We start from the raw sequence: 15,752 nt of genomic DNA, 5'->3' as shown, positions 1-15,752 counted from the left end.
TCCTTCCCTATCTGTGAAACAGGAGAGTTGACTCTCAATGGTCAGAAACTCAAATGCCTTCAGGGTCCAGGCAGTTGGTGGAGTAAAGCAGGTCTGTTTAAACAAAGAGTGCTTGAGACTGGTGAACTAAAGAGTTCAAGCCCTGCCTGAAGACAAACTGTGACTTACAGACTATTAAAGCTCAAAGCTCTAGCATCTAAGCTCCTATGACAAGTTACTATCTAATCAGCAGAAGAGAGGGTCTACTCAGGGGTAGTTCCCCCTAAATGGTAAATCTAGTTGCCTCCTGTAGCCAAAGGGAGTGGTGAGTGAAGGCATGGAAAAGGTAGTGATTATATTTAGGTCACAAGAGAAAGAAACCTGAGCAGATCTCCAGGATAAGAGACACATTCTCCTTATGGATCAGGTCAGGCCAGACATTAACCCATCACATTGTGCTGTCTTGTTTGCTACTGAATCCCCAGTACAGATCCTAGTACAGAATATGTGCTCAATAAATATTTTTTGAAGGAATGAATGACCCTTTCTGAACCTGTCTGCCATTATGAGGCAAGACTTTTTAAAAATCTAGCTGTTCTCTCAAAATCTGTTCATCTTAATCAAATCAGCTAGAGAAACTGCCAAAAGACATCTTGCTGGTTGATACTTTAAGCATCAACAGAATTAGAGAATGTTGAGAGTGACAGATGCCCCAAAGATGTCTAAACCAATGCAGCACTTTACAGATAGTGAAACTGAGGACCACAGAAGGAAAGAATCTTGCCCAGTGGCATATGGCATGCTAGCAGCAGAGCCAGAACTCCTTTTGGACCAGGTCTCTCAGCTGTCTAGCATTTATTTCCCTGCTCTATGCTGCCTGCCCTACAAAAGGGTGATCCCAATGTCACACATTTGTCCATTAGGACGTTAATATGTGTTATGTTAAAAATAAAGGGAAAACCCTGTGGGAAACACTAGGCTAAACAAAATAAGCTGCTTTACTAAAGTACTTCTCTATTTTACTTTAAGATACTCGTGTTGAACTGGACTCTGTTTTAGGGAGAAAAAGGCAACGTTGCCTAAATGTAACTGTGGAACACCCTTTCTAAGCTAAAAGGTTCCAAGACAGCTAAATGTTAAATCTGGACTAGATTCTCATCTCTGGCAACTCTCAATAAAAATACACTAATCTCAGCTGTCCTACACTTTATAAATCTCACCTGGAAAGAGACCAAAACAACCCAGCAGATTCATCCAGTAGCTATTATTTGCATCAGGGATGGGATCTTCATCATTAACAATCTATACCTGACCCTGTTCTCCCTCCCAGCTACCACCACCCTCTCCCCCAGCCTCCTACTGACCTTCAACCACAAAATCAAAACAACCTCCATGTCAACCCACCACCACCTAGCTGCATACTTACCAATGTGACAGTGCAGCTGTACTTATATGGAGGAAACATATCGGGCTTGACCTCCACAACTTTCACCTGAGAAGTCCTGTTGGATGGGCCACTTGGTAGCTGTGGATCAGAACAAATTATTTAGTGCTTTTGAACCTTAGCCAAACTCCTGAGCTCCCATGTCCTGAAACGACTTGAGGGAATGCTTTCCCGGGGAATTTGTAGAGCTATTCTCCAAATGAGCCCTCTGGACTGCCAGTTGGCAGTCACAAGCCCACCAAAGGCTGAGTGTCATGTTCAAGTCCAGGCCTTGCCACATGCTTCTGTGCAGTTTCTAATACCATGTATTAGAAACACCATGAATCAGATTTACAACTACTACTGAGTTATAAAAGCACATAATAGCTTTTATACATATAAATACATGGTTGAACAACTTTGCATAGAAAGATGTCTGAAAGACTATTCACTAAAATGTCACAGGGTAAGAGGACAATCATGGTTGTTTCTCCCTCTTTACCACTATCTACAAAATTTGCTTTTTTTTTGGTAGCGATGTGGGTCTCACTATGTTGCCCAGGCTGGTCTTGAACTGCTGGACTCAAGCAATGCTCCCACCTCAGCCTCCCAAAGTGCTGGGATTACAGGCAAGAGCCACCATGCCTGGCCTCAAATGTTTTATAAGGAATGTATATTTTACTTATATAGCTAAAAAAAAGAAAGAAAAGATAAAGCATACAAAATTAAAATTATTCTATAATAATGAATTTAAGTTGATTTTCTGAATATCTCATGTACCTCTTTACTGGTTTAAGACTAGTAAAAGAGCTTGTGGCTTTTAACAAATACCCAATGTCACCAATCAAAAGGAAACTATTTACAGAGAAGACTGGGGTTTACCCAAGTAACAGAGTGTACATGAAGGGAATCTAGGGGCTGGAAATATACAAAACTACCGACGCTAACCAGATACCTTCCTTCTACACCGCAAGATCACACATACACCCAGAGCTGCCACATCTGTGTGGAAAACAAAACAGTTCTCAAAGTAAAAGCCAGTTGATATTCCTGTCAGGGCAAATGTAAAACTGTTAAAGAAAGGAAGTTAACTGACAAAGAACACATGACAGGGGAGATGGCAGACCCGTTTTCCTATTCCAACCTGGTCCATGACACAGTTTTCAAACTACAGGTCACAATCCAATGAGGGGTCATAACATTAATTTAATGGGTTGAAACCAGGATTTTGCAAATAGGAATGAGAAAAAAAAAGTGACTGCATATAGTAAGGGCACAGCTTCATTAAACCTTTAGTATATATGTTTACTGGGCAGTAATAAAAAATATGCCTGTTACTGAAGGTCATGATCAAAAGCTTGAAAAATGCTAACTTAGGAAATTTTGAGAGATCCTTTTATAGCTCACAAGTATGACAATCTGGTATTCATGCACATGGGTGAGATGTGCCTCCCTCAAACCTCATTATAACGTCAGCACATTACCCATTTGACATGAAAAAAAAAAAAAAAACTTGATAACTATTCTAGCTACATATAGCCAAAAAACCAACCAACCAACCCCACTAATCCATGGAATTTGGACACACAGAAAATTTTTAATATCTGTATCACTAAATGAAGTGAAAAATATAAGCCACAAACTAGTATATGGAGTAAGAGCCAAGTTTCTGATTTTTAAAAAACTGTATTAAAAAATAAACACACACAAATTCAGGAAAAGACCTGAAAGCACATCGGATGGTCATTCTGGGTGGCAGGATCATGAGGGACTTTTCTTTCTCCTTTACCTGAATTTTCTATATTTTCTACAACCATGCATTCATTTTTAAAAGGAAGCTAAAGAGACATGACAACTAAACGTTAATATCTGATCCTAGACTGGATCACAGACTGGAGAAAAATATGCTATATAAAGGAACTGTGCTAGAATAGGAGGGGCTTTAAAAATATACAATAAAATAAAGAAGACACTGGGGAGGTGGCTAATGCCTGTAATCCCAGTACTTTGGGAGGCCGAGGAGGGAAGAGGATCGCTTAAGGCCAGGAGTTTGAGATCAGCCTGGGCAACATAGCAAGAGACCCCGTTTCTACAAAAAAAATTTAAAAATTAGCTTGGTATGGTGGTGCCTGCCTGTGTACCCAGCTACTCAGGAGGCTGAGTTGGGAGGATTCCTTGAGCCCAGGAGTTCGAGGCTGCAGTGAGCTATGATTGCACCACTGCACTCCGGCCTGGGCAACAAAGCAAGACCTTGTTTCTGGAGGAAAAAAAAAAAAAAAAAAATATATATATATATATATACACACACACACACACACACACACACACACACACACATACATACATATATATACATATATATATCAAACACACATATATATACATATATATATACACACACATACATATATATATATACATATATATATATATAAAATCGGGTCTGTGAAAAGAAAATAAATCTTGGGGCCCCCAAATCTCTATGCTAAATGGAAAAGTCAAGCTGGGAACTGCTTAGGGCCAACCTGCCTCCCATTCTATTCAAAGTCACCCTCTGCTCACTGAGATAAATGCATATCTGACTGCCTCCTTTGGAAATGCTAATCAGAAACTCAGAAGGATGCAACCACTTGTCTCTTATCTACCTATAACCTATAAGTCCCCTCCCTGCTTTGAGTCTTCCTGCCTTTGCTTCCAGTTGTCCTGCCTTTCCAGACTGAACCAATGTTCATCTTGTGTATGTTGACTGATGTCCCCCTAGAATGTATAAAACCAAACTGTGCTCTGACCACCTTGGGCACATGTCATCAGGACCTCCTGAGGCTGTGTCCCAGGTGCATGTCCTCAATTTTGGCAAAATAAGCTTTCTAAATTAACTGAGACCTGTCTCAGATTTTCAGGGTTCACAGGTCGAATTGACACAATTTGGAATATGAATGGGAGAGTAAAGGTATACATCAATGTTTCAGTAAAAGAATATTCCTATTCTAGGCCAGGCGTGGTGGCTCACCCCTGTAATCCCAGCACTTTGGGAGGCCGAGGTGGGTGGATCACTTGAGGTCAGGAGTTCAAGGCCAGCCTGGCCAACATGGTGAAACCCCATATCTACCAACAATACAAAAGTTAGCCGGGCGTGGTGGTGTGCTCCTGTAATCCCAGCTACTCAGGAAAGGCTGAGGCAGGAGAACCACTTGAACCCAGGAGGTGGAGGTTGCAGTGAGCCAAGATTGTGCCACTGCACTCCAGCCTGGGTGACAGAGTGAGACACTGCCACCAAAAAAAAAAAAAATCCCTATTCTTATGAAATACACAAACAAGCATAAAGGCATAACTTACCCTATAATGTGTATTTTACACACATGCAATGTGTACACACCCACATATGGTGGGGGGACACACATGAACATAAAAGATAAAGCAAAATGGGCTAATACATTAACAATAGGTCACTATGGGTAAAGAGTATATGGGTGTTCTCTGTACTATTTTTATTTTTGTGACTTTTTTCTAAGTTATAAATTATTTCTAAGTAAAAGGTTTAAAAACATGTATTCACTTAAGTTTTAAGAAATTACTTAAAAAACAGATAAATCATTCATGTTAACCTCCACCCAGAGGTCTGCCAACGTGTAAGAAATGGGATGTGCCTTTACCTATAGCTTTGATACATTACATGGAAGCAGCCAGACCCTCAAACAGCTCCCACTCTGGAAAATGGGCCTTACCTTCACCTCACCAGGGCCAGATGGCTGTTGAATGGGCTGGCCCAGCTGCTTCAGTGTGCTTGGCTTCAGACCACAAGTCCTCACAGAGGGAGTCTTATCTGAGAGAACCAGGAGCCAAACTGGTGACTTAAGTGCATTCAGAGTCTCCCCAAGTCTCTATGTCCGTTCTCAACCCCCCACTCCTGTCCCTTTCCTGTCAGACAGCCCCTCCATCCCAGGTATGTCCCAGCCCTTACCACTCAGGGAAAAGGCCTGCCTGGCCCTGGGCAGTCCCATGCTGCTGCCTCGCCCCACGTTAACTGGGGCTGGCAAAATTGCTCTCATGGGTCTTGCTGCAGCCAGTAATGAGGGCTTGCCCCGTGCTCTGCCTTTAAGCTCTGGAGCTCTGGACCCAGGGGTAAGCAGGTCAGCTCTGAAAAGAATAAGAAGAGAAATCTGGAAATTCTGGAACAAAGGGAAGAAAACCAAAGCGCAATCTCTACATAGTGCTTTCTTAGAGGATAGTATTGGGGTTAAACTGTCAAGCTTTAGACAGATTGAGTTCAAATTCAACCACTAAATAGCTGTGTGGCCCTGGACAAGTAATTTCATTCTTCTGTTAACTTCAAGTTTCTAATATGTAAAATGGAACAGTAATTACCTATACAGTATGGGGTCATTGCGAAGACACAGAAGTGTAAAACGATGTCTACAGCGTGTAATGCCAATCGCTATTATAGCTGTAACATCTAATCTACCTCTAGTTAGAGCATATACTTATGACAGCAGCTTAGAGACCCTAGAGAACAGAGTCCATGTTTGCTTCATCTTTGCAGCACCAATGTTGAGCACATGGCCTATACCACAGAGGAGGCCTCAATAAACATTTGCTAGAGTGATTTACGTGTCTCAAACAAAAGGTCTAAAGTGCACAGCTTCATCCTTTAAATATACAAAACCATCGCCAAAGTATATTGCTACATGATTTTTTTTAAAAAAAGCAAGATGGGGCCGGGCGCGGTAGCTCACGCCTGTAATCCCAGCACTTTGGGAGGCCAAGGCGGGTGGATCACAAGGTCAGGAGATCAAGACCATCCTGGCTAACACGGTGAAACTCCGTCTCTACTAAAAATACAAAAAATTAGCCAGGCGTGGTGGCAGGTGCCTGCAGTCCCAGCTACTCGGGAGGCTGAGGCAGGAGAATGGCATGGACCCGGGAGGCGGAGCTTGCAGTGAGACGAGATGGCGCCACTCCAGCCTGGGCGACAGAGCGAGATTCCATCCCAAAAAAAAGCAAGATGTATTTGGGAGGCCAAGGCGGGCGGATCACCTGAGCCCAGGAGTTCAAGACCAGTCTGGGCAACATGGCAAAACCCCATCTCTACAAAAAAAAAAATACAAAAATTAGCCAGGTGTGGTAGTGCGTGCCTGTAGTCCCAGCTACTCCAGAGGCTGAGGTGGGAAGATCGATTGAGCCTGGGAGGATGAGGCTTCAGGGAGCTGTGTTCGCACCACTGCACTCCAGACTGAATGACAAAGAGAGATCCTGTCTCAAACAATAAAAATAAACATAAAAATAAAAAACAAGATGTAGAAGTATGTATGTTGTGCTATGATTTGTGTTAAAAAAAAAATGGGAAAAATATATATACACACACACACATACATATTTGCATACAAGGTATACAAGGTATTCTTATTTTTCCAGGAAAAGCCAGCCAAAGTTAAAAGTGGAATTGGCTTCTGGTGTTCATTGCGGGCACAATTGTTACCAGTTGAGAACCATTGATACAAATAAGGGTCTTCAGTTACAAGAACACAACTTCCTCAGGGAAGGGATATACACAGAATCCAATTAAGCATTTAAGGAGGAAAAGGGGAGAAAAAGATAGTGACTTCCTCCGACTTGCAAGGTACTTGGTTGCATGTTTTATATACAATCTTCAGTTTGTACAGTCAGCCTGTGAGGATAAGATTTTCTAATATCCAACTCAAGATTCTTCAGAGGAGAGAACTGAGGTGAAGAGACATGAAGTGACAATGCCCAAAGTCAAACAGAAGCCAGAAACAGTCAGAACCAGTACTGAGTTCTCTGACTATAAGGCCAGAACTCTTTCTACAGGATGCTTTAATAAAGATTCTCTTTCCAAATCCAGTATCCAGGACTGGTAACTCATAGTTTTAATACTGCCCAGAGCCTATACCAGCAAGACTCTAATTAATGCTTTAGGGAGACTGACAAGAAGAGATGTGTAAGTAATCTGACAGCAGTACATGAATAGCAGAGTCCGGGGGAAGGGACAATCTTTATATATCTCTAGGCCTTGGTTTCTGTATCTCTAAAACAGGAACCATTGCCTGGTCTCTGCTGCCTCTCTCAGGCATGCTGTACAGACATGAGATAAAAGAAACATGGGGCATTTCCAAAGCCCTATATTATACAAACACACTGACTTACCCTGTAGGTTTTTTAGGAGCAGGGAGTGGACTGGAGGTACTTGTCCCCTCGGATGGTGTTGGTACGTCTGCTCCAGGACTGTCATTGTCAGTTGTCCCCAGAGTGACCTCAGGCTGCACACCACTTTTGACGACTGGCGTCTTAGTGACTGCTGTACCACAATTCCCGGGAGCTTCCTTAACCAAAACATGGGCATCGGAGATGATCACTTCCTCCCACTCACTCTCCTCACCTACTTCTCTGGGAGGAGCTACGTTCAGGAGCTGGCTTACAGCTTCCGAATTCTCCAGAGTCAGTTTGGAGGCATTTTCCTTAGAGGAATTTTGCTCAGTGGTGACAGGTTGCTGATTTCTTTTCACCACAGAGCCTTTGGAAGAGACGCCAGAAGCCAATTCCACTTTTACTTTGGCTGGCTTTTCCTAGAAAAATAAGAATACCTTGTATACATAAGGGATTTTACAGTTGATGACATTCACAAACATTCTCTCATTTTTAATAACATATGGGCAATAAATAAGGAAACTAAGGTCCATGAAAGGAAGAAGTTAACTTAAGATCTCAAGTGTAAAACTAGCCTGAATCTAAGTTTTCTGGCTACAGGTTCCTTTCACTATAGCATTAAATGCCTTCGTTTGAATAAAACTGTTCATCTTCTAATGAATTCTTATTGAAAAGCTTCTCCAGGTTTCATCAACCAAATGTTGGCATTTTTTAGGTTTACATTTAGTTTTACATTATTCAAAGGCTACTTCTGTGTGTCTAGAAAGAGGGTGACATACTGCCATACAGGGCCTAAAAGCCCTAAGTTGTTCACCTTGGTGGTCCTTTTATGAGATTCAGTTAATCCCAATGTGGCCGCAACCTCATGTGGACAGATTCAAATTTTCCCATCTCCTTTGGGAAAAATTCTGTTTTTTGTCCCAGATTCTTTAAGGAGAGTCTTAAGAATGACTTGCACATATGTCACATACTTTGCACTGGATCAAATTAACTCATGCATTATTATGTGCTACAAATATTCAAACTCACTAAAAATGGCAGCTGCTATTTCAGCTAGACCTGGCTTTAAAAAGTCCTTGGTGTCTTAGCTTTTATCCAATTAGCACTGCAGTGGAAATAATAGTATTATATATACACACATACGCTTTTAAAAATGTTTTTAAATAGTGGTTGTCTTCAGAAAGGTTTTCTACCCACCATGTATATCATAAAGGGCACTGTAAACTAGGAAACATAAAGGCTGGGTTCTATCAAGCTTAGCTCCACTCCTAATTAGTTATGTGGTATAAGGCAAGCTTCAATTGAATCCTCATTTCCCCTTATGAAATAGCAAAGGGTTGGGCTCTCAGTATTTGTCAACAGGAGCCAGACAGCATTTTGGGTGACCTAATTCTATAGTGTGTAGGACCTCCCTGCACATTACAGAAAGTTTAGTGTCTGTGCCAATGTCACTAAATTTCAATGATTTATCTCCCAGTCGCTTACTACCCAAAAACCCCTCAACATTTCCAAAGCCATCTGCATACTGCACTTCTAGTTCAGAACTGGTAACAGCCAGGCGTCATGGCTCATGCCCGTGATCCTAAGTCTTTGGGAAACTGAGGCAAGAGGCTCACCTAAGCCCAGGAGTTCAAGACCAGTTTGGGAAACATGGCAAGACCACATCTCTACAAAAAAAAAAAAAAAAAAAAAAATTAGCCAGGCATGGTGGTATGCAGCCTGTGTGCCTGTGTTCCCAGCTACTCGAGAGGCTGAGGTGGCAGGATCACTTGACCCCAGGAGGCTGAGGCTGCATGAGCTGTATTCATGCCTGGGTGACAGAGCGAGACCCTGTCCCTGTCTGGAAAAAAAAAAAAAAAAAAAGAGCCAGTAACAGGTGACCTCTTAAGAGCTCTTTGGTAAAGCATTCTCAGATTCTAACACATAATAGCCCCTAAGAGTGAGTTAACATGGAGAAAAATTCCAAGTCAAGTGCACAGAGCTTATTTACTGCAGGAGAGGGAAAATTTAGCAGAAAAACAGGAGACTAAACTCATTTTTTGAGATAAGATTTTTGAGCAAACACTGCCTACTAAGTAGGCTATTTTAGACAAAAATCACCACAGAAAGATTGGGTAATTTAAGCAATCTGAGCAAAACAACTCTACCTGGTGATCTCACATTTCATTAACTCAGCCTACTCATTTTAGATGTTACTTTCAAAATTCTCTGAGGCTGCAGGCTCAGAGAGACCTCAACTGCTGCCATCAGAGAGCCTTAAGAATGAAGCCTTGAGCTAAACAGCCTTATATACTATCTTTTGTTTTATCCAACTCATTGGGAACTATGCCACATATTTCTTGGGCTAATTTTAGCCAGTATGAACTCTAGAACAATACAACAAAAGGTGAGTCATTTCCTGGCTGGCACAAACACACTTGGAGCTTTTAGAGACAAATTATACTTGCTGCCTCAAAAATCAGAATTCAAGAAATCTTATTAATAGATCGGGGTGTCCAATTTTGGCTTCCCTGGGCCACATTGGAAGAACTGTCTTGAGTCACACATAAAATACACTAACACTAACAATAGCTGATGAGCCTAAAAAAATAAAAATAAAATAATCACACACAAAAAAATATAATGTTTTGCTCTTTGAGGAAGACACAGTCATAGGTGGTGCGGAGCTGCGGTCCGCCCGCTCCTGCCCGCTCCTGCTCCTGACTCACCGCTGTTCTCTCTCGCCAAGGAACAAGTCGGTCAGGAAGCCCGCTGCAGCCAAGGCTTTTAAAGACACCGGAAAAACACCCATGGAGCTGGAGGTGGCAATTCACCGAATTCAAATCACTCTAACGAGCTGCAACATAAAATCCCTGGAGAAGATGTGTGCTGACTTGATCAGAGGAGCAAAGGAAAAGAATCTCAGTGAAAGGATCAGTTCGAATGCCTACCAAGACTTTGAGAATCACTACAAGAAAAACTTGTGGTCAAGGTTCTAAGACATAGGAATGTTTCCATAGGAGAATCCACAAGCAACTAATTGACTTGCACAGTCCTTCTGAGATTGTTAAGCAAATTACTTCCATCAGTACTGAGCCAGGAGTTGAGGTGCAAGTCACCACTGCAGATGCTTAAGTCAACTATTTTAATACATTGATTACCAGTTGTTAAAAAACAAAAAATCTCAATGTTTTAAGATAGTTTATGAATTTGTGTTGGGCTTCATTCAAAGCCATCCTGGGCCATAGGTTGGACAAGCTTGTCTTACATTCTGCAGCTAAACAGCACAGCAATGCCTGAGAAGTGTGGTTTAGTGGAAAAGGCAATGGGATAATTGGCTGTGTGAATTTAGTAAGTCGCTTTTTCAAAATCTATTTTTCCTTAGCTGGAAACTCAAAAGAGTTGAAGTAGCTGATAATCAAAGTCAATTTATTTCTAAAATTCTAAGTGCACTGATGGTAAAATGTTACCTGTCTTCTCACACTCATTCTGTTTCTATAAGCTTTAGAAATCACAGTATCTACTCTTGACATGGTAATCCTTGCAGAACACATTGGTAAATTCTGACTTAGCAAGTCAAGATGGGGGAAGGTAGCTAAGAAAAAAATTGTTTTCATGCCATGAGCTTGATCTTAGTAAGAGAACCATGGCTCTAAAGTTTTTCAGGCTGGGCACCATGGCTCACACATGTAATCCCAACACTTTGGGAGGCAGGTGGATCACTTGAGGCCAGGAGTTCGACACCAGCCTGGCCAACATGGTGAAATCCCATTTCTACTAAAAATACAAAAAAACCTAGCTGGCTGTGGTGGCACATGCCTGTAATCCCAGCTACTCGGGAGGCTGAGACATAAGGATCACTTGAACCAGGGAGGTAGAGGTTGCAGTGAGCTGAGATCGTGCTATCCAGCCTGGACAATAGAGCAAGACTCTATCTTCAAAAAAAAAAAAAAAAGCTGTTTCAGTTAAAGCCAGGTATGATGGTATGATGTCATATGCCTATAGTACCAGCTACTCAGGAAGCTGAGGCAGGAGGATCACTTGAGACCAAGAATTTGAAATGGGCCTAGGCAACATAGCAAGAGACTCTGTCCCAAAAAAAAAAGTTATTTCAAAGTGGAAAAAAAACCACACATACAAGAAATGAAAAAGAAAGCCACACATACAAGAAATGAAAAAGCCAAAGTAAAAATAGCCTGAAGGAGGGATAAGCCCACAGTGATCACTGACAGTCTTTCATGTATAAGCACAGGAAATATGGTCATTTGAGACCTGTTTCGCATTGGTCAAGAAAGGCCAAGGAAGATTCTGACTACTATCCAGTTCAATCTCCCCACTGCAGTTAGAGAACTGCCTTTTTGGGGAATACATTGTGAATACACTGATGGCTTCAGAGAGGCACATCAGAGAAGATGGCACAAGAGCCTTAGACAAAACCCCCTGTGAGACATTAGCACTAGGCCCTTCCTGACAACATGAAGAGCAATAGTAGGGCTAATAATTACATTGATGTCTATCATGATGATAGCAGGACATTCACTGAGGATTTAATATGTACCAGAAACTGCCATTTAGTCTATATGGATAATCTTATTTGACCCTGCTAACATCCCTAATGAAGTAGGTACTAACTTCCATTGACAGATGAGACAAAACTTAAATCCAGGAACAGATATAGAATGTCTTGACCAAGATTACATAGTTAAAAACCTTGGGAAGCAGGGGTCTGAACTGAGGTAGCTAACTCCAGAATTGTGTTCTTAATTATCCTGTCTCCTGGAATTAGTGCTACCCTGAACTTAGCCAGAAGCCAAAACACTCATCCAGAGGGCAAAAGTCACCATCCCAGTATTTCTCAAAGAGATGTGAAAATTGCCCCAGAGAAGTTTAAGGTATGCTGCTATACAAGGTTTTTCTACACATACAAGTTTGGACCATGCTGAGTTAAACATGTGATAATCACGAACCTAACCTAAGCCATTTTCACTAAAATAATGTCCTCTCTTTCCTTTTCTACCCACCCAAATTCTGTTGAATCTTCAACTCTCTCTCTTCTATAATACCTTGCCTGTCTGTCTCAGTCCTTATAAATGTCTCTCCTCTCTGAACTAGGTGAGAATTTACTGCCTCTTCCATCCATTTTAGCCCTTAAAATGTATAGTTTCATATAAAAAATGTGGCAAGTATATATGTTTTATCTAGTTCGCACCAAGCATACACAGGTGACAACATGTTAAACGGAACTTCAGAAGGGCACAGCAGTGATGCTCATTTATTTATTGAGTGTCTTCTATGGGCAAAGGCTGTGGGAGATACCAAGGTCATTAAGGAACTCACAATGTGACATAAACAGAAACATTGTTAACTGATGATGAGTGTTAAATAAAAATGTTAAAGACATATAGATACAGACATCTCTATATACAGACGGGGGGATGACAGAAACAAGTAAATAAACATGGTGTAGTAGTTCATGGAAATTATGAAACAGGTACTATTTTGAAGACTATTTAAAGGCATGATATGTTAAATTAAAAAAAGCAAAATATTATAGTATTGGAGATATCCACGAAAAAACAGAAAGAAAAATAAAAGGGAAAACAGTGCTCACAGTGCTGTAATCCCAGCACTTTGGGAGGCCGAGACAGGAGACTGTTTGAGGCCAGAGCAACAAAGGAAGACCCCATCTCTACTGGAAAAAAAAAAGAAGGGAAAGAAGAAGAAAAAAACAGATACAGAACTTATTCACAGAAAAAAAGACTGGAAAGAAGTACACCAAAATGTTAATAATGGCTTTTCTTTGGATGGTATATGAGTTTGGATAACAATTTATTCCATTTTTCTTTTGTATTTTTTAAACAAACTATATACAATGGAAATGATTTACTTGTATAGTCAGACAGTAAAAACAAATGTTAACTTTTTAAAAATCACCTGTTCCTAATGGCAAACAGAAAGTCTATTCTGTGAGGCTTCCAAAGCAGCAACAGCCAATGGACCTTACCTTTGGGATCCACTTCCCTCCTAGGAAGTTACCACAGGTAGGGCACTTAGGTGGCTTGTGCCTGGTGACATATGTAAAGGAGCACCCTGGGCTGGTGCATGTCCCATGGCCCCGGCGGGTATATGTAGTGGTCTGTAAATAAAGAGCACATCAGAATCAATAGAACAACCTCTCTCAGACTGATGACCACTATAATCACAGCAACACCAGGAGGTCACAAGCTTGTGGAAAGATAACCAATTCATAATCATATCATAAAAGGTCAGTGTTGGAAAGGTCCTACAATACAACAAATTCACTCTTTAGAAATGGAGAAACTAAGTTCAAATGGGGAAAGACAATTGCCCAACATTACAGTTAGGTACCAGAAGAATGAAGAAAGTGATAGTTGCTATGCATTGAGCTAGGCACCACACAATGCTAAACACTTTACCAATATTTCATTTAATACTCTCAGCAATCGTATTAAGTACGTATTATTACTACTGAGGTTTAAATGCTTTGCCTCAAATCATCAATCAAGGGCAGAGCTAGACCTAGAACCCATATTTCTCTATTCTTGGCCCAACATTCCTTCTATGCATCCAGCTGCACCCTCTGGCTCTAAATACTTCAAAGAATTTGCTTCATCTTCATTCTTCAGACAACCAAGGACCTGGGATTCAGAATAAAAATAGATCCATGGTCACTGAAAAAATAAGGGCAGTTCAGGACTATAAGCCAGGCCCTATCCTTTGATACTCAACAGAATGTAGTTATTTGCATATTAATATATATAGCCACTGGCTCTTATCATCTCCACTGATCTCCCTTTGAGCAAAATGTATTACTATGGGTTATAATATTTCAGCTACAAATAAAAACGACTCATTCATTAGTCATGCTCCGCTTCTAGATTAAGGCTGGAAAAAAACCCATTTCTCTGTCATATTTGTTCTGTCACATATGAATGTTTACTCAGCTATTAATCCCAGCTTCCCTAGCCCAGCCAAAACGCAAAAAGCTTCCTTGGGGAAACACCAAACTACCATTAGCTACCTCTGCAAGGAAGCCTAAGGAAAAGGCTTCAATTATGGCTTCCAATTATGACAGTGGTATTAAGTCAAGGATGAGCGTGAAGTGGTATGGCACCAAAAAGAGGAAGACCAGGCTTTGGGTTCCAATTTTGCCACTAATACACTGAGTGACCTGGTGGTAAGGAACCTTAACTCTTGGGCCCTGAGTTTCTTCCTCTGTAAAATCGCCTGTTCTTCCTATTTTATAGGCGTGTCTTGCTGAGAAAGTGAGATAAGAAATGAGAAAACATTCACTTAGATTCTACATGCTTGTGAGAGACTATTAATAGTGGAATATAAAACATCTCTGATCCTTTCTCAGGTTATGGCCAATGTATAATTCTCATTCTGAACACCTCAAGAAAGCAGAGTAAAAATTTAAGATAGGTTAGTTTCATAAGTAAATTACCATGGACTTGGAAATTCTTAACATTGTTAAGTAGGCTAGAGAAATGACTTTAGGAAAAAAAGTGCTAATGTTCAAGGATGACGTTTCAGTCCTAAGTATTAATCATAAAACACTTTTCTAGAAGTGCTTGGCTGACATTTATTAGAGCATGAAAGAACAGTAATTTCCAGGAGAATAAAGACTCAGGAGAAATAACCAGTTTCTCCATGAGTCAAAGCTGCAGGCTGTTCCTATTTTAAAATATTGCAGCTTTATTATCTACAACATATTGTTTATCTCAGTAGAGATCTCTGAAGATAAACTTATAAGTTAAAAATATGTACTTTAGCCCTAAAGAAACTACTAAAATAACCAAAACAAAGTCAATAGCTAATAAGCCAATAAAAGAAAGCAGATCCATAAAAAATACTTATATCAGAAGAAGGCAGAACAAAATTGATGAGACAAATAATAATAGATCTAAATGTAACCATATCAATAATCACATTAAATATAAATGGCTTAAACCACCTCTTTTAAAGACAGAGACTGTCAGAGGGTCTTGCTTTTATATTGAAACTATATGCTATCTACACAAAGCAGAACAAAACAAAAACACTTTATGTAGATATAAATTAGTTAAAAGGATGGAAAAATAGATTTCTTGATGTAACAATAATTTTTAAAAGCTAGATATTAGACAAAGTAGATTTCAGAGCAAAGATTACTAGAGATAAAGGTCATTTTGTAATAACAAAGGGG

The 15,752-nt window shown here is 40.5% G+C and overlaps 1 protein-coding gene, 1 non-coding gene and 1 pseudogene across 4 annotated transcripts in view; 2 read left to right on the top strand and 1 right to left on the bottom strand.

Annotated features, from left to right (window-relative positions):
* HMGXB3 (HMG-box containing 3) overlaps positions 1-15,752 on the bottom strand; it is a 52,390-nt gene that overhangs the window by 20,884 nt on the left and 15,754 nt on the right. For all 3 annotated transcript variants that reach the window (NM_014983.3, NM_001366501.2, XM_047416963.1), the window contains 5 exons: positions 13,548-13,679; positions 7,565-7,983; positions 5,364-5,539; positions 5,128-5,225; positions 1,406-1,504 (listed from right to left, as the gene is read on the bottom strand). In NM_014983.3, coding sequence (NP_055798.3) covers positions 1,406-1,504; positions 5,128-5,225; positions 5,364-5,539; positions 7,565-7,983; positions 13,548-13,679 — 924 coding nt within the window. The remainder of the gene's footprint in view (positions 1-1,405; positions 1,505-5,127; positions 5,226-5,363; positions 5,540-7,564; positions 7,984-13,547; positions 13,680-15,752) is intronic.
* Positions 2,793-2,896, top strand: LOC124901207 (small nucleolar RNA U13). The gene has a single exon (XR_007059171.1). It is a non-coding gene; the product is annotated as a small nucleolar RNA U13 (small nucleolar RNA).
* Positions 10,195-10,714, top strand: RPS20P4 (ribosomal protein S20 pseudogene 4; annotated as a pseudogene).

Source organism: Homo sapiens, chromosome 5, assembly GCF_000001405.40.
Source record: "Homo sapiens chromosome 5, GRCh38.p14 Primary Assembly".
In the NCBI taxonomy this organism is placed as follows: Eukaryota; Metazoa; Chordata; class Mammalia; order Primates; family Hominidae; genus Homo; species Homo sapiens.
The sequence above is the reverse complement of the archived record's forward strand: the minus strand, read 5'-3'. Positions and strand labels throughout refer to the sequence as shown.